This window comes from Homo sapiens, chromosome 1, assembly GCF_000001405.40.
Source record: "Homo sapiens chromosome 1, GRCh38.p14 Primary Assembly".
Taxonomy (NCBI): Eukaryota; Metazoa; Chordata; class Mammalia; order Primates; family Hominidae; genus Homo; species Homo sapiens.
In genome coordinates, this window is record NC_000001.11 from 37,269,478 (window position 1) to 37,287,533 (window position 18,056).

Consider the following 18,056-nt stretch of genomic DNA (forward strand, 5'->3'; position numbering starts at 1 on the left):
TGAGGGATAAAAGACTACAAACTGAGTTCAGGGTATACTGCTTGGGCGATGAGTGCACCAAAATCTCACAAATCACCACTAAGGAACTTACTCATGTCACCAAATACTTCACCTGTTCCCTAAAAACCTATGGAAACAAAAAAACTTAAAAAATAAATTGCATCCTTTAGGATTGTTGTGTCACAGAATTGTCACTTATTAAGACTGTTATAAGATAGGAACTAGTGAGGGTAAAGTGCCGGTGTCCTTAGGTGACCATAAGGAAAATATGGGCCAGCAAAGTGAGGGAGCTGCTAAAGAAATTTAGTTCGGTCTTAGGCTTTATCAGTAGGAGTATGGTGTATAGATTAAGGGAGACGATTGCCTCACTGCACCTTCCCGGGCCACACTTCCCTGGAGTGTTGCATGTAGTCCTTACCACACGTTAGGGGCACCTCAAAAACTTTTTTTTTTGAAACAGAATCTCACTCTGTCGCCCAGGCTGGAATGCAGTGGCACGATCTTGGCTCACTGCAACCTCCACCTCCTGAGTTCAAGCAATTCTCTTGCCTCAGCCTCCCGAGTGGCTGGGATTACAGGTGCATGCCACCATGCCTGGCTAATTTTTATATTTTTAGTAGAGACAGGGTTTCGCCATGTTGGCCCGGCTGGTCTCGAATTCCTGACCCCAGGTGATCTGTCCACCTCAGCCTACCAAAGTGCTGGGATTACAAGCGTGAGCCACCACACCCAGCTTCTCACCAACTTTTGAATGCACAAATGAGACATTCCCAGACCCACTGCAGGAACTGTTGCTGTCAGCCAGGAGGAGAGCAAATCCAGAGACCCTGACCTTTGCAATCCCTGAAGGCTCCCAGGAGATGGAGCTCAGTTTCATGAAGGAAGAAGGATTTGAGTGCTAGGAATTGTATAGTAAAGGAGCCTCACCCTAAAGAGAGTGACATTCCTGTCATGAAAGGCGATGAAGCCAAGACTCACCGCATTTGTGAGGAGATGGCAGCGAGGATGCTGAACCTGTGAAGGGGGTGCCTGGAGGGACGAGTCTTGCAACTCAGTGTGGTGCACCTGCCAGCAGCATCCATCACCTAGGAGCTTGTTGGAAACAAGGAGCCTCAGCCCCCAGCCCTAAAAATCAGAATACACATTTTAACAAGATCCTTAGGTGAGAAGCACTGGGCTAGAGGCTGGGGGTGGAGTAAAACCCTGTCAAAAGGGAAGTGATGCAGTCACCTGTTTGGAGGGCACCAGCTGAGCACCTACCTGTTGTCAGGCCCCAGAACCCCCTTTGGAGGAATTTCCACTCTGTTAGGGGCAGCAGACTCCTAAATAGGCAAGCAGCATAGAAGGAAGCTCCGAGTGCCAATAGGAGGCAGTGCAACGTGGGGTGGTCAGTTCTGGGGGAGAGTGAGACAGGAGAACCACCAGAAAGAGCTCTAAAATAAGGCCCAGAGCTGGCCAGGCATGGTGACTCATGCCTGTGATCCCAGCACTTTGGGAGGCAGAGGTGGGTGGATTACCTGAGGTCAGCAGTTCGAGACCAGCCTGGCCAACATGGTGAAACCCCATCTCTACTAAAAATACAAAAATTAGCTGGGCGGTAGTGGTGTGCGCCTGTAATCCCAGCTACTCAGGAGGCTGAGGCATCAGAATAGCTTGAACCCAGGAGGTGGAGATTGCAGTGAGCCAAGATCGTGCCATTGCACTCCAGCCTGGGCAACAAGAGCGAAACTCCATCTCAAAATAATAATAATAGTAAGGCCCAGAGTTGTTCAAGGTATACAGCAAGGACAAAACACAAGCACAAAGCCCCAGGTGCCTGGCTTCCAGCTCGCCTGGTTGTGCTGTGTGTGTGTGTGTGTGTGCACGCACACCTGGGTGTGGTTGTCTACATCTATGATTTGTGACATCATTGGTCATGCTCATGGTCATGTGTGAGCTGTGTAAATGTGTGAGGTATGTGTGTGTTTGTGGGATGCATCCACGTGGGAGCATGGGTGGCTGTGGGAATGTTTCCGCAGGCAAGGCTGCAGCTGCTGTGGCCAGCCTCCCCACCGTGCACAGCCCTTGACCATCAGCAAATGGGACCTTGTGCTTTGCAGTTCCCCCAGGCCCAGCCTCACTTGCCTTCGATGACTGACCCTGGAAAAGAAGGGTCCTCTGGGCCTGTCAGGTGTCCTTGGGTTGACCCAGGGCAACTGGAGCCTTATTCCTGACTGACTTTTCTGCCCATGTGGCCTCAGGCAGTTCACAAGACACCTCTGTTCCCTGCCCCCCATTCCCAAGTGAAAGTGAGCAGGAGATGGGACAAGGGCAGGAGCCACAGTGGTTTTCCCCTCCACCCAGACCTATCCACTGCAGCCCCTCTGTGGGCGAGGGCTCTCTAGCAACACTGACCAGCCTCCAGGCCACACTGCTGGTGCAGGACAGCCCCTCTCCTTCTGCCTCTTTGTCCTCTAGCTCATGGTCCTGACCTAGCCTAGTCCCCATGTGCCTGGCCTTTGGCTGAATTTATCCTAAATACCTCTCCCCCACCCACCCCCTACCAGCCATCCAGGCTTGGCAGTGGAACAAGTGTGCCCCATGCCTTCTGGGTGAGCTTGGCCCTGGGCTGGGGATTCCAATCAGTCTGTAGCCAAGGGAGGTGGGCTAGGAGGCAAGGGGACAGCCAATCTTTCTGTGCCCAGAACATGGACTCTGGATCACAGAAAGTCCACTCTACTTCTTACCTAAGGCAAGTCACCCCACTCCCCAGGTGTCAGTTTATTCATTGATAATATGGATATGTGGCACCAACTTCCAGACATGCTGTGGGGTCAGATGAGATCATAAGAACAGTAACATGCCATGGACACTATGTGGGTCAGCAGGGTCTTCTCTGATGCCAGCAGGGTAGAGGATGAGCGTGAGGTCAGGGTGGCTTGGGAGAGGAAGTGACAGGACTGCTCGTGGGTGAGATAGCCCTGGAAATGCCCGGTGCTGCTAGGGAGCTGGCCCTCATGGGACCACCAAGGCTCCAAATGGGAGCTGAGCAGGAGTCGAGAGACGGGTGCCATGGGTCTGGGACCCCAGAACCTCAGCTTCCCTGGGGTATCAGGGGTCTCCAAGGAGACACAGGGCAGAAGCTTCTCCCCAGCCAGCTGCTTTGGTAGAGTGTGGGGGCGGCTGCTGGTGATAAGGGCAAGAAGTGGGAGGGACATATTCAGGGGCCTGAATCTAAACACCTCTAACAGTGGAGGCCCTACCGCCCTGCCCTTCCAAGTGGCAGATGGTCCCAGGTGACAGCCCACAGGCCGGAGCAGCCAGACCACAGAAATGTCGCTCAGATCTCAGAGCTGGTGGCCAGCAGGGTCTGCTTCCTAAGGGCCTCCCAGAGGACCGAGGGTAAGGATAGGACTGGGCAGCCTCAACAGCTCAGAAGCTGGCACCTTCAGCCCCCTCAGTGGGAGCAGGGAGCTCAGGGAGTCAGCTCAGGGGTTCACAAGCTGCGTGACGTCCTCTGAGCTGCACTGGCCTCTTCTGGAGGATGGGATCCTAACCCGCCTTCTAGCGTTGCAGGGAGGATGAAATGGCATGATGAACAGCAAGTACTTTGCAAAGTCCCCAGTGCTAGGTGCATGGTAAAGCCCTGGAGATGCTCAGCATCCTCAGCAGTCCCTTGGTTCTTCTTTCCCAGCACACAAACAGCCCAGATTCAGAAGCCAGTTCTCCTACTGCTTAGCTGGGTGCCTAGGGCAAGTTACTTTTCATCTGTAAAATGGGGAGAATAAGGGCTCCCTTATGGGGCTGTTGTGAGGATTAAATTTGTTAATAAATGTCGAGTGCTTAATCAGAGCCTGGCACTAAATAAGAGCTCAATCAACAAGAGTAAGAGCACTACCGCTGGTATTGTCATTCCCATCACACACCTCCTCCCCCACCACCTGCACACAAGAGCAAGTCCCATCCCCAGGCTTCGCATTCAACCCCTGCTTCCTCTGGCTGTTGCTCTCTATAAGCCCAACCTCCCAAGCCACCTGAGGACAAGACCACGGCTCCTTTCTCGAGTCTCTCCCTAGACCCCTTGCCCACTCTCAGCATCCAGATGCCTGATCTACCTGGAGTCGGTGGTGGTGGCAGAAGAGCTCGGGGAGAGATGGACTCTGGGGCCTGATGGGCTGGTCCTGGCCCCCCACAGATGGGCCAGGGCATGCAGCGTGAACACAGGTGGGATACACTTAAGTGCACACACATGGACCACACCACAGGCAGCCCTTCCAGCTCCCAGGCTCAGGCCACCATGTTCTTAGAACGCTGAGGGGGACAAAGCAAAAGCCCCTCCCTCCTCAGCAGCCACCTACCTCCTCTGCAAGTGGAGCTGCTGCTGCTCAACAATGTATTGTTGCCACCTAGAGTCCTCCCCTGGCATCTCTAGGCCCTGCTGGCTGCCCAGCTCCAGCCCCCCGCCCCCACCACTAGCTCCCACAGTTGGGGTGAAATAGGGGGAGGGGGCTAGGAGTAAGGGGAGAGACAGGGCAGGAGAGGAGGTCCACACTGGGCACTGCTGGGCAGGAGCAGGAGAGCCAGGTTCCAGCCCAGGCTGGGTATTAGCTCTTTACATTGCCTCAGGCAAGCCTCTACCCTCCTTGGCCTCAGTTTCCCCATCTGTAAAAGGACAAACATTCACACATAGGTCTGTGGTCTACAGACACACACAGACACTTCCCTGGCTAAAGGTCTCTAGGGCAGGAGCTCATGGGGAGTGGGACAGTCTTCTGATGAGAAGATGGCACCCCAGGCTAGGCCCTAGTGGAAACTACCGCTAATCCCGCCTCCCTGGCCATAGCTGAGAAGCTGGAGCTGCCCCGGGTTCGAATCCCAGATCCACCACTTTCTCGCTGTGGAACTTTGAGCCAGGTGTTCAATCTTTCTTCCTCCATGCAATGGATACAGACAACACTCGGCACAGTCCCCAGGCCACAGTGAGTCCCCAGCAAATGCCAACTGTGACCAGCTACTATTGCCTGCCCAAGAAGGCTGGAAACGGTTTCATTTGGGAGAAAATAATCCACAGGTGCTTCTCCTGTGTTTCATTTTACCTGAATGGAATCTGCCAAAAGCTGAGTGAGGGGACTCCTATTTCGCTAAATTAGAAGAATTTGGGTCACATGGTAGAAACCCTGGCAACCAGCTCCGAAAGGGCCGGAGGGTGGGGCGGAAGCTGCCACATCCCTCCCACCTCCACCATGAGGTCTCCTAGACAACAGGAGGTGAGGACACTCCCAGGCCGCCTTCCTCTCCCAGAAGCCAGCCTGCCACCTCCCCTGCCACCACCAAGGAAGGAAGGGGCACCCGCTGGATGGGGACTTTACTCTGCTACCCCCCACATTTAGCCTGTGTGGCTCACAAAGCCCCTCTACCACTCAAAGCGAGGCCAATAGGGGCTCTCCCCACCATGGATACCGGGCCTTACAGGGCTGCAGCTGCACTGCAGCCCCTTGGTCCCCACCACCACCCTCCAGGATCTGCCATGGGCTCCCTGATTGCTAATTTAGACTTTCCTGCCATCCCACGCAGGGGAATCAGGGGAAATCAAATTACCGAGTTATTCACTCTTTTTGTACAGCTGATGGGCTGATTAGCTGTCAATCAGGGTCTACATTAACATCTGACACTGTGTGCATAACAATTACCAGTCACATTAAGGAAACCTTTCCCTTTCTCTCTAAAGGGAGGGGTGGGGAAGAGACAGGGGAGAGGAGGAGGCGGGAGGCACTGAAGGGAGAAGGAGGAAATTCAATCAGCATAATTAGCTCAATCAGAGGAGAACATCACTTCACCAGCTGAGCAGAGCTACTGCCACTGCCAAAGACCCCCGGCTGACCAGCTGCTCTGGAGCCTCTGCCCACTCTGCCCTCCAGCAAAGTGCCCATCCTCTCCCTGCAGCCACAGCCCTAGCCAAGGCAAGCTGCCCTTCCAGTCAGTCAACCACTTGGGCCCACCTTTAGACCTCCCTTGCTCCAATCAGGTGGGCCCATTTCTGCCTGCTTCACTGGGATTGGCTCTGACTGAAGAGGAGGGATATAAGACTCCAAGGGTCGAGGCAGAGTTGGGAGTTGGGGGTGAGATGGAATAGAAGGGGTTGAAGACTATTGGAGTCTAAGTTTATTATTATTTTGTGAAAGGGACTCCCTTATACTGAGTCAGGCTCTGACATTTTGTGGATCATCCTGCTGTTTTTCCTGCTCCTTCCTTATGGCCTGGCATCCTCCATCCCTCAGCACCCCTTCTGAATTGTTTGACCTTCTCTGGGCTGACCTGCATGCATCTTCACTTGACTCTCCCAAGATAGATTTTCAAGCCCATTTCCCATCCTACCCTCCACCTCTGAACACTCTCCAGTTTGTCACTGCCCTGAAGGCTAATAAGTACTCCCTGTATGTTGTAACCACCAGGGTGGAGGATGAGCCTGGGATCAGAGTAGATTGGGAGAGGAAGTGACAGGACCACACATGGGTGAGATAGCCCTGGAAATGCCTGGTGTTGCTGTAAGTGGGAGCTGAGCAGGAGTCCGTGGGTCCCAGCACTCCTGGGACCGCAATTTCTCCATCCATAATATAAGTGTGTCTCTAACCACCCTCCAGACTGGCTGTTTTTGAGTCTCTCAGTCTAAGGAGTCCTTACTCTGGACGCTGCTGCTGCTCCACCAGGAGACGGATGGTGCTTCGAGCTATTTCCTCAGTCCAGACATGGGGAGGATTTGCAGGGAGCAGTCACACTCTCCCATTCAGTCTCTTCAGGGCCTCCTGTGACAGAAGTAAAACAAACTGATAATATTCTTGGAAAAAGCCAAGCTTGTCCCTGGCCCACAGACTGAATGTCAACAGTTCATGTTTGCTGAGGTGTCCAGACAGGGGGTCACCTTTTCTGTTTGCTTTTTTCATATAAAAGAACAGGTCTCAAGAAGGCTGGCTTTGGCCTCCTTAGCACTGCCCTGACCCACTGAGCAAGTCACAGACAGGCCTAGTGATAGACTAAGGACGCACTGGTAATGACTGCCAGGCAGGAGGAAGGTCTGGAGCCTAGGGCTGTGAGTTACTCAGGGAGGTGCAGGCAGAGGGAGGCCTGAGGTTGTGCTGTAGCTGCTTCTACAATGCGGACGTCCCATGAGGGTGAAGAAGATACTCAGCCCCATTCTCTGGGCCTCTGAATTTCTTGACCCAGTGTATTAGTCCACTGGGGCTGCCATTGCAAAAGACCACAGACAGTTTAAATACTAAAATAAAATAACATAACAGAAATTTATCTTCTAGCTTTCGAGTTCTGGAAGCTAGAATTCCAAAAGCAAGGTGTTGGCAGGTTTTGCTTCTCCTGAGGCCTCTCTCTTTGGCTTGCAGATGGGACCTTCTCTCTGTCCTCATGGCCTTTTCTCTGTGCACATGCACCCCTGGTGTCTCTCTGTGTGTCCAAATTTCCTTTTATAAGAAAGCCAGTCAGGTTAAATTAAGGCCCACCCTAACATCTGCTTTTAACTTAGTCATCTCCTTGAAGTCTCTATGTCCCAATCTGAGCTATTAGGGGTGAGGGTTTCAACATATGAACTTGAGGGGACACAATTCAGCCAAAAACCCTCAGAGAACTAATAGCAATAGTTATCATTGTTGTTGGACAGCTAACACATATGTGGCACTTACTCTATTCTAGGCACAGGTCTAAGTGCTTACATACACTCACTAAACCCTCACAGACTTGAGCAGGTACTATTAGGCAACTATCATTACCATCCCAACTCTTTAGATGGGAAAAATGACATACAGGGAGGTTAAGCTACCTTCCCATCTAGTAAACAGGAGAACCAAGATTCAAATTCAGGTATCTGAATCCAGAGTCCACCCACTCAGCAACTGTTTTACATGCCTGGGCACAAGGTCCTTGGAGGCTCAGTGATGGTGCTGATAGTCTTTCCAGGCCCCAGAGAACAACTGCCTCCTGGCCTCTAGCTCAGCAGCCTCCACAGTAGGGCTACCTCAGGCAACTTCAAACCCAGCCCTTGTACTGAGCCCATCTTCAGCCCAGAGAGCCCAGACACCACCCCCCACCCAGCATTCAAGAGGGTCTCCATGTGGAGGGGCAGGGGGTGCATCTGGACCTTCAGCTGCCGGCATTCACAGAGCCCCTGATTATGCACCAGACCTCGTGCTAAGTGCTCTGCAGGTATCATGTCATTTAACTCTCACATTAAATGTGAGTCCAGGATTATGCCCATTCTCTCCCTTCCTCTACAAACAAGACCTTCCAGACTGATCTCAGCTAAGCACACCAGGTCACCCCTGAGCTATGATAACTCATTTTCTCTTCTTTTCTTTTTTTGAGACATGGTCTTGCTGGAGTGCAATGGCGCAATCATAGTTCACTGTGCCTCAAACTCCTGGGCTCAAGCAATTATCTTGCCTCAGCCTCCCAAGTAGTGTTACCATGCCCAACTAAATTTATTTTTTATTTTTTGTAGAGACAGGGTCCTGCTATATTACCCAGGCTGGCCTCAACCTCCTGGCCTCAAGTAGTCTTCCCACTTCAGCCTCCCAAAGTGCTGGGATTATAAGCATGAGTCACAGCACCTGGCAATAACTAGTTTTCTTAGGCATTCCTAAAGCCACTAATTTACTCCCCCATTCAAAAAATTATTTACTGGGTGCTTACTATATGCCAGGCACTGGTTCTGGGTATCAGGTGTGAATGGGGGAAAACAATAGAAAGGATTCCTGCCCCCCAAGAGGCTTATAATCTAGTGGGTTTAGACAGAAAATAAACAGGTATGGACATAAAGAAATACGATGGTTACAGATAGTGACAAATGAATCACGAAATGAAACCAGGCAATGGCTAGGTTGCAGACGCTTCAGATGGGGCAGTCAGGGAAGCCTCCCTGAGGAGGTGGTGTTTGAACTGAGATCTGAATAACAAGAAGGATCCAATAATGAGGGGGAAGGGCAGGCAAGGCAGAGAGAACAGTAAGTGCAAAGGTCCTGAGACATGTTCAGGGGACAGAATGAAGACCAGCCTGGCTAGAGCAGACAGGACTGGGAGACCGGTAGGAGATCATGTTAATGCAATTCTGCACCTGAGTTACCTCACATTACCATCAGGGAAGAGGTGACTGACAGTTCCTTCCAATGTCTAATACAAATCCTTCTAACTGCAAGTGAAACCTCATTGCCTTGCTCTGTCTTCAGAGCAGACTAAAATCTGAGAACACTTATGGTGTTTCCTCCCCACCAAATCACCATCCCAGCCAGAAAATAGTAGCTTCCCCTCTTCCCCCAACCATTTCTAGGTGACATTTAAAGGAGTGGCGGGGTTTGGGCTGGGAGCCTCTATGAGTTTGAGAAAATCTATCTCCCTTCTGATATTTTCAACTGCCTCCCTTTGTAGGCTGTCAGAGCATGACAGGGAACATTTCTTGCCAAAGGTCCCCTTGTGTTGCTGCCTAAATACACTCATAAATTCTTGCCTGAACCCAGAAGCAAGGTCCTGTATTTAAAATAAGAAAGGCAGAAAGACCCATAGAGAACCTTTCACCCCTTTCCATTCTATTTTCTTCTCCTTTCCTTCCCAACTCCCAGCTGCAGAAAATGAAATAAATGCTTTTCAGGAGTCAGGGTGCATAGATTATTGTGTCTACATCCCCAGCTACCACGGAGGAGGAGAGAGATGCATCAACAAACAAGTGCAATGCATGCTATAATAAATAAATCACCTGCAAGTTGGGGAACCATGGTTGGAAGAGAAGCTCAATTCATCATGTATTTACTCAACAACTATTTATTGAACACATACTCTGTGCCAAGTACTTGAATCAGTACTGTCAGGCACTTGAATCAGTTAGGGTCTGGTTAAGAAAAGATAAACCATTCTAGGTATTTCATACAGTGGAAATTTAATGCAGGGAGCTGATTATGCAGATGATGGAAGAGTTGAGAGCCCAAATTAGCACCACTAAAAAATTGGCAATAGCCAAAAGCCACCAGCTACTTTGGAAATGGAAGGACAGTGAAAAGAGATGGTTTTACTCTATCTCAGAGCTGGGGTTTTCCTGCAAGGAGCTAGACTACAGGGAAGCCTGCTCAGCAGAATCTGAAACCACAGAGGGGGCCATTGTCTGCAAAGAGATGTACTCACTGCCACAGATGCTACCCCAGGCAAAGAAAAAGATGAGAAATGCCCTGGCTTCCTTCTTCCTTCCATCCTCCAGTCTCCCACCAGTGCCTCTTATTGACTAAACTCAGCCAGAGAAAGTGACTCTGCAGGAGTCACTTTCACCTCCACAACACCCCCATGGTAGAGTGGAGAAGGGGAAGAGTAAGAGATGGGTTTGAAGGCAAACAGCCAAATGAGTGTCACAGCACTAAAGACTTAAGAGGAGGGTACATTTGATGTGGATTTTAAAGCTTGAATAGGAATTTTCCAATCAAGAAAGAGAAGAATGGTACAGGAAAGAGCAGGTTCAAAGACAGGGAAGTGCAGAGGATGTGGCTCATTCAACTAACAACAAAATATTCTGCCTGGCTGCCCGGAAGGTATATAAGCAGAGCCAACAAGAGATTGGGGACCATCCTGTAGGGCCTAAAAGGCTGAGCTCAGGGGTTGGATATCATCCTGTAAGAAGTGTGGGACTCCATTGGGTCTCAGTCACAGACTGGGATTAGTAAAGAAGAGGGACCACAGATTGGGAAGAGAGACAGTGAGGAGCATTTGCAATGGTCCTAGTGAGCAATGATTAAGTCTGAACTAGGGCTGTTTTCATGGAGACTGGGAGGAGAAAGGGCATATAAGAGAATTTTAGGATGTAGAGACAGCAGGACTTGGTAGTTGACTGGTAGGAGCGAGAGGGAGAAAAAAAGACAAAATATGATATTTGGGTTGGTGTCTATGAGAATATAATTCTAACTCTTCTCCCTTCCTTCTCCTTCCTCTAGGGCCACCTTTGGAGAGGCCTCCACTTATCTCTTAATGTGCAGGCTCTTATAATGCAGCCTTCCTTTCTTCCATTGTATTAGAATCCTCACTTTGGGGCTGGACAAAAAGGCCTCCTGGAATAAAGGCTACACTTCCCTGCATCCCTTGCAGCTAGATACAGCCATGTGCCTAAGCTCTAGCCAATGAGATGTAAATGAATGTGTCAGGGGATAGCTTACTTAAATGCAGCTGGCATGTGCCCTTTGGCCCCTTTGTCACTCTTTCCCCACCTTGCTGCCTGGACAGTAACCATGATAGAGCTTTGGCCACTATTTTAGACCAGGGAACAATAGGAACCTGGGTCCCTAAAGACATGATAGAATAGATTCAGCACCTACTTTGCACTGCCTAAATCAGTTCTGTAGGTGAAAGAGAAGTAAGCATCTACTTAAGTAAGCCACTGTTATTTTGAGTATGTTTGTCACAACCAAACTTAATCCTAAATGATACAATACTCTGTATTTCAGGAAATAATTTAAATATCTCATCTCATTTACTCCTCAATAATCCAATGATGTAGATAATATTGATATATCCAATTTACAGATGAGGAGATTGAGGCTTGGTGAGATTAAGTCCCTTGTTCAAGCTTACACAAAGAGCCAGTAGTGCAGGCGAGATACAAACTCTGGAATTTTGGCTCCAAATGTTCTGACTTCCTCAGAGGCACCTCTTTTCCCTTCCCAAATGTTTTTCATCTTCCCTCCTGCTTCTTTCAGCTTGACACGTGTTTCTAGCAATAATAATGGCCTCAATAATAAGGATAATAATAAGAACACTGGGATTTGTTCTTTTGTAGAACTGAACAACTTCCTACTATTTCTGCCAACAAATTAGTCTTAATTGCACTGTGGCATCATTAGGCAGCATTTGGGGAAATGTAGAAGGTCCCCAACATGTCAAGAATATAATTTGATCAACAAAACATCTAAAAGAGAAAAAAAAACAGTAGATGTTCATATTTAAAAAACAAAACACTGGGCTGAATTTTGTAATCTGTCCTTTTAACTCCTGTCTTTGTAAAAGATGAATTACACCTTAGTGGCTTCTGGGCTCTGGCTCACTGCACAGTCGCCGAGTTGCCTGTGACACTTCCAGCTGAATTTGCTCCCTGCTGTCAGCTGTAGGGAGGGGGTTATTTCACTGAGAGGGAGGAGGGTTATTTGGGTTATTTCTCTGCTTCTACTTTTGCCCGTCTACCATCTAATCAGCATGGAACAACCAGATGAGGCTTCAAAAACCTAAGTCACATCACATCACTCCTCTCTTGAAACACTGTCAATAGCTTCCCATCCTATTTACAATAAAAACTAAGCCTCCATCATGGCCTCCCAGGCCCTGCATAATCTGGTCCTCACTCACCTCTGTGACCTCATTACCAACTCTCTGCCCTTCACCTCTGACTGATGCTCTGGCCACAATACACCTGGACACTCCTGCCCCAGGGCCTTTGCACTTGCTGCTCCCTGCATCTGGAACACTCTTTCCCCAGATGTCTATGGGATGGCCTCCCTCGCCTCACTCTTCTCTCTGCTAAGAGAGGCCATCACTACCCACTGCAACAGAGCATCCCTTCCTGCCCTACTTTTTTTCATTAAGTTGATCACTACCAGCCATTACATTATAAAAGTATTTGTATATTTTTAATTGTCTGGTCCCCCAAGTAGAATGTAAGTTCCAAGAAGGCAGGAGCTGTATCTACTTTGTTCAGTGCTTGGCTTCTGTGCCTAGAGCATGTATGACACATGCTAGGTTCTCAATAAATATTGGAGGGAGGGAGGGAGAGAAGGAGAAGAGGGAAGGAAGGAAGGGAGGGAGGGAGGCAGGGAGGGAGGGAGGGAGGAAGAGGGGAGGGAGGGAGTTTGGGAGGGAAGAGGAAGGGAGGGGAGGGGGAAAGGAGGGGAGGGGAGGGGAAAGGAGGGGAAGGGAGGGGAGGGGAAGGGAGGGGATGGGGAGGCTGGAAAGTACATGGTGAAGAAGGCATCAGACAGGATAGGGAATAACTGCTCCAAAGGCCAAACAAAATGAAATTCAGTAAGAGGAATTGGAGTTAGACATAGGGGAGTATTTTTTGACACTGAGAGGTGTAAGGTAGTAGAGCAGGAAGCTGGGAGTAGGAGGGGATTTGCAGTTAGGAAGTGGGTTCCCAGAGCGGTGGTCAAACTGAAGGAGGACATCTGGACTTTCCTGGGCAGTGTGGGAATGTAGCCAGACCTGCATTCTTTTTTCCCTCTCCCTTCCTTTCTGTGGGAGCAACTGGCACAGAAGAGATTTGGGACTTGGTGAGGGGAGGGGAAGAGGAGGAGGCAGTTCTTTTTTCTTAACCTCCCCATAAAGTTACAGAAGAAATCTCGAGTAGTGAATCATCCCTCTTTACAATCAAGCAGTTATTTAAAATGGAAAAAGGAAAAGAGACCCAGAGAAAGGGAGAAAGTGGGAGATTATCGCCCGCCAGCTTGCTCCCAAATTCCAGGCAATCAGCCACTGAGATGTGTCTCATCTCACGATGAGCCGCTTTCCTGATTGAGGGAGCTAATTGCAGGGCTGACACAGCTTCCCGGGAAAGTACTTGTAGACAAAAAATGCCAAGAGCTACCAACAGCAACAAAAATACATCCATACACACTCATAATGGCTCAAGACCCAACTGGCCTGTACTGCCAGAGACATCTACCCCACCCTGAAAAAGGAGAGGAAGCTCTTGAGACCAGCCAAAGCCATTAGGAAAATCCCAGGGGAGAAAGTGGCCAAAGACATAAACAGCCAGTTCACAGAAGTGGAGGTACAAATGTCCAATAAACCTAGGAAGAAAGGTTCAACCTCACTTGCAGTCAAAGAAGCAATGCTAATTACAACCATGGCACCATTTTTTGTGGACAAATTAGAAAAGGTTTTAAGGGAAAAAACATTCATATTGACCTGGGCCTTTAGGGAGGCAGGGGTGAGATCCTGATTTCTTTGCTGATGGAGTTTATCATCAAGATACCTGGGAGAAACAGGTCACAGGGGAACTATCTCTTTGGGGGCTGTTGGCACACAGTCTAGCGGAAACAGAAAGTAGTCACTCAGCCTGCTCTGGGATGCAGCTGAGCTCCAGTCAGTGCCTTCGGTTTGTCTGTGTCCCCCTGAATGTTACCCAGAAAGAGGACTTGATGGATTCTCCATCCAACAAGGAGCCCCTTCCCTGGGCTCCAATACACTGGCTCCATCCTCAGGGCCATCCTTAGGTCTTGTCTGGGGCTCTTGGACCAATTCCAGGTCTAATCCAGTGTGGCAGAAGCAACTAGTTTAGTTTCACCCAGGCATGCCTCAGAGTCAGAGCGACTTAGGAAGGAAAGAACAGCTTCTGTTTTTGGTGTCAAAGGCAAGCATGCTGAGGCTCCATATCCTGCCTGATAAAATGGTAACACTCAGTCTTGCAAGGATGTGGTGAAATTGACTTTCTTGTGTGCTATTGGTGAGAGTGGAAAATGATGCAAACTCCCTGGAGGGTAACTTGACAAAAAACAAAATCTTCATTCCCTTTTCCCTTCTGGAAATCAGGAGAGAGGAGAAATGCTTCAGCTATACTCCTTATGCCAGATGTCCCCTGCCCAATCCCTTTAGGACTCCCCGCTGCCCTCACAAAGAAGGAGAAATAGCCATCTGACTGATCGGAGTGTGAGGCACCCATCAGTCCATATTCAAAAGGTCAGCACCTCCAGGGAGTGCTCTTGCTGGTACTTCCTGCCTCTATCCCATGGACAGAGCTTGAGGGCACACCTGGGTATGTTGCTGTCAAGAAGGAGAAGGAGTGTTGCACCCTGCTCGAGCCTCAAGCTAAGGCATGCACTGCAACTCAGCCTTGTACTTCAGTTCTGAATTGGGGACATTGGGTAACACTTGGATGACTATTAATAAAGAGGTACTTGCATTCCAGTTCTGCTATTGTTCGTTATGTATCACTTCTTTAAAACCTCAAAGGCAGGTTGATCAGTAACCAGGAAGAATGGATCTTTGAATTTCTGAATTCCTGGCAGTAAAACTTTCTGATGTCATCCAAATCCCACCCGAATTTCTTTTTAATTGAAAGATAACCTACACACAGTGAAACATAAAAAGCATATTTGTTTTCATTATATGGCTTCATCATTTTTTTACTTTTCTATACACTCATATAATTACCACCAAGATCAAGAAAAGGAACATTGCTGGCATCATCGTACTGCCATCCTGCATCTTCTTAGTCTGTATCTCCCTCCAGAAGTAACCATTGTCCTGATTTTAACAAACATGGATTCATTGCACCTGTTCTTGAACTTCCTATTAATGAGATCATATGGAACATATTTTTTTCTGGCTTTTTCACTCAACATAATACCTGTGAAATGCATCCGTATAACTGCATCTACCAATAGTTCTTCCTCTTTTGTTGCTGTGTAGTATTCCATTTTTATGAAACTACTATAATTTATTTATCCTCTTACATATTGATGAGTATTTAGATTATTTCTACCTTGGGGCTATGATGAATAGAATATATATGAATATTCTGTTATGGACCCGTGCACTCATTTCTCTTGGGTATATACCTAGATGTGAAATTGCTGGGTTATAGCATAGGTGTGTGTTCAGCTTCAGTAGAAACCATTTTCCAAAGTGGTTGTACCATTTTCAACTGCACCAGCAACATATGAGAGATCCAGTTGCTCCATATTTTCACCAACGCTTAATACTGTTGGTCTTTTTCATTTTACCCATCTAATGTTTAGTGGGATTTCTTTGTGACTTTAATGTACTTTCTATGGTGAGTAATGATACTGAACAGTGTATCATTATGTACTTATGTCCATCTGCATATGTTGTTTTATGAAATGCCTCTTCAAATTTTTTGCACATATTTTAATTGGACACCTTAATTTCTAAAATAATCAATACTAAGGAAATAATCAGAGAAGCAGACAAAACTTTATGCATGAAGATGGGCAGCACAGCACTGCTTGTAACAGCAAAAAACTAGAAAAACGTAAATGTTTATCATATAGAGAATTAAATAAATTATGATACAAGTGTATATTCAAAGACTGCATGCTTTTGATAAATATGTTTGTGATAAACATATATGCTTGTGATAAATGTTAATACTATAAATAAGAAAATTTTTATAATATAGCATTTTGATAGCAACTTTATTTAATGTAAGCATTAAAAGAAAAATTGGAGAGAAAAACATCCAAATGTTACTGCTGGTTATTTCTCAGTGATAAGATTATGGGTGATCATTATTTTCTTCCTCCTACTTTTGTTTCCCAAATGTTCTACAGCATTCATACATTACTTTTATAATCAGAAACACAATAAATATTTTTTAAACTACTAGGACTATGAGGTCTAACTGAAATTGAGTATTACAAATAAACTATTGTCTGAACAGAAACTAGTTCTTTGACTTTCAACATCTTCAGGCAAGATTTTCTAAGCCTGAATACCTTACACTTTCTTGAGAAGAAATTATTTTGTTTACTCCACATGCTGTAAAGGTACTTTTGTGTCTGTGTTCTGATTAGGTTTTTATCAAAGAATGCCAGTGTATCGCTTGGATTTGAAAAGCCCTAAATGGGGCTTAGTAATGGGGCATTTGGAAACAAGCATGCTCATCTGCCAGTGGACACATTTCTGAGTATAGGCAAGGGGGTAAAACCACAAGCTCCATGAGGGCAGGGACCTCTATGCCCGTCCTGTTCACTGTTGTGTCCACAGTGCCTGGCATAGGACCTGGGCTTCAAAAATATTTGTTGGATGAATGAATGAATGAATTCACCTGTAAAGTATTGATTTTCCCTTACAAACGAAACAGAACAGACCTTGTAAACAGAAAAGAGTGTTGCCCCACAAAGGCATCCCCTTGGGAGACTATAAATAGTTTTTACAATAGCATCCCCATGGCATAAAATGTTGGGAATTTCTTTTGTGGAATTGTTTCCAGAGTCTAGAATATATTCTTCTGAATAGTTTCAAGGGTGGCCAATCAAGAAGAGTGAAAGGAAGATCTCCTGGAAGGGGTGTGGGAAGTGAGGCAGGATTTAAGCACCATCTTTTCCTTTGGGCACTGAGCAGACCCCCTGCCCACCCCCCAAGACCAGGCAGGACCATACATAAAGCTTGATCTGTCTGGAGAAGAAAATGAGAGCTGAACATGACAGCCTGGTGGCCTTCCCCCTACCCCAGGATTCTGCACAACCCTCTACCAGATTAACCCTCCTGCAGCTCATTACCATGCTGTCATTTGCCTACTTTCAACCCTCTAATGGCTTCCAAACAGAGGCCAAGCCTCCCAGGCTGGCTTCTAAGGCCATGCAGGGTCTGACTCCATCTGTTCCAGACTCAAGTCCCATGACTCCCTTGTACAAACCTTTCCAGCAGGAAGAGGCTACTGTACTGAGACTCCCTGTGGGTTCCCACCCATCCTACAGATTGGGCTGTCAGAAACATGAAACAGGAAGGCATGGCAGCCAAGGAGGCTCATCTGGAGCCCCCACAGCACTAGAGATTGGGCGGTGAGAAATTGGAACAAAATTCCAATCAAGCTGTGACGCTCTAGACCAGTGGTTCTCAACTCTGCCCACACATTAGAATCACTAGGGAAGCTGTGACAGGGTGTCCAGCTGGCCACCAGAGATTTATGATTCCCTCCTAGCATTGCTTGAAAGTGGCTTCCCTGCCAAGGATTAGATTTCCTGACTTCTCTTGCATATAGATGGGCCCGTTGATGGAGCTCAGGCCAATGTAGTGTGGGTGGATGTGGTGTGCCTCACTTCTAGGCCTGGCCGGTAAAAATCCTCCCAAGCAACCCTTCACTCTCTCTTTCCCCATCTGCTGACTAGAAACCCAGCTCACCTTGGAAGCCGCATGTTGAAGACAACTGAGCTTCCATCCACTGGTCCTGAATGACTGTGTGGAACATAATCAGCCCAGGGCACAATAGACTATGTAAGCAAGAAATCCTTCTCCTGAGTGAGGCCTCTAAGATTTAAAGGTTTATCCCTTACGGCCACTAAGATGACCTTAATTAATATAGGAGTTTT

General features: G+C 47.8%; 1 annotated feature.

Moving 5' to 3' along the window:
* Positions 4,587 to 5,481: an enhancer, noted in NCBI's record as "H3K4me1 hESC enhancer chr1:37739665-37740559 (GRCh37/hg19 assembly coordinates)". NCBI's record gives its function as "activates a minimal SCP1, AML or CMV promoter by ChIP-STARR-seq in primed H9 embryonic stem cells {active_cell/tissue: H9 hESC(primed)}" and the evidence as "EXISTENCE:reporter gene assay evidence [ECO:0000049][PMID:30033119]".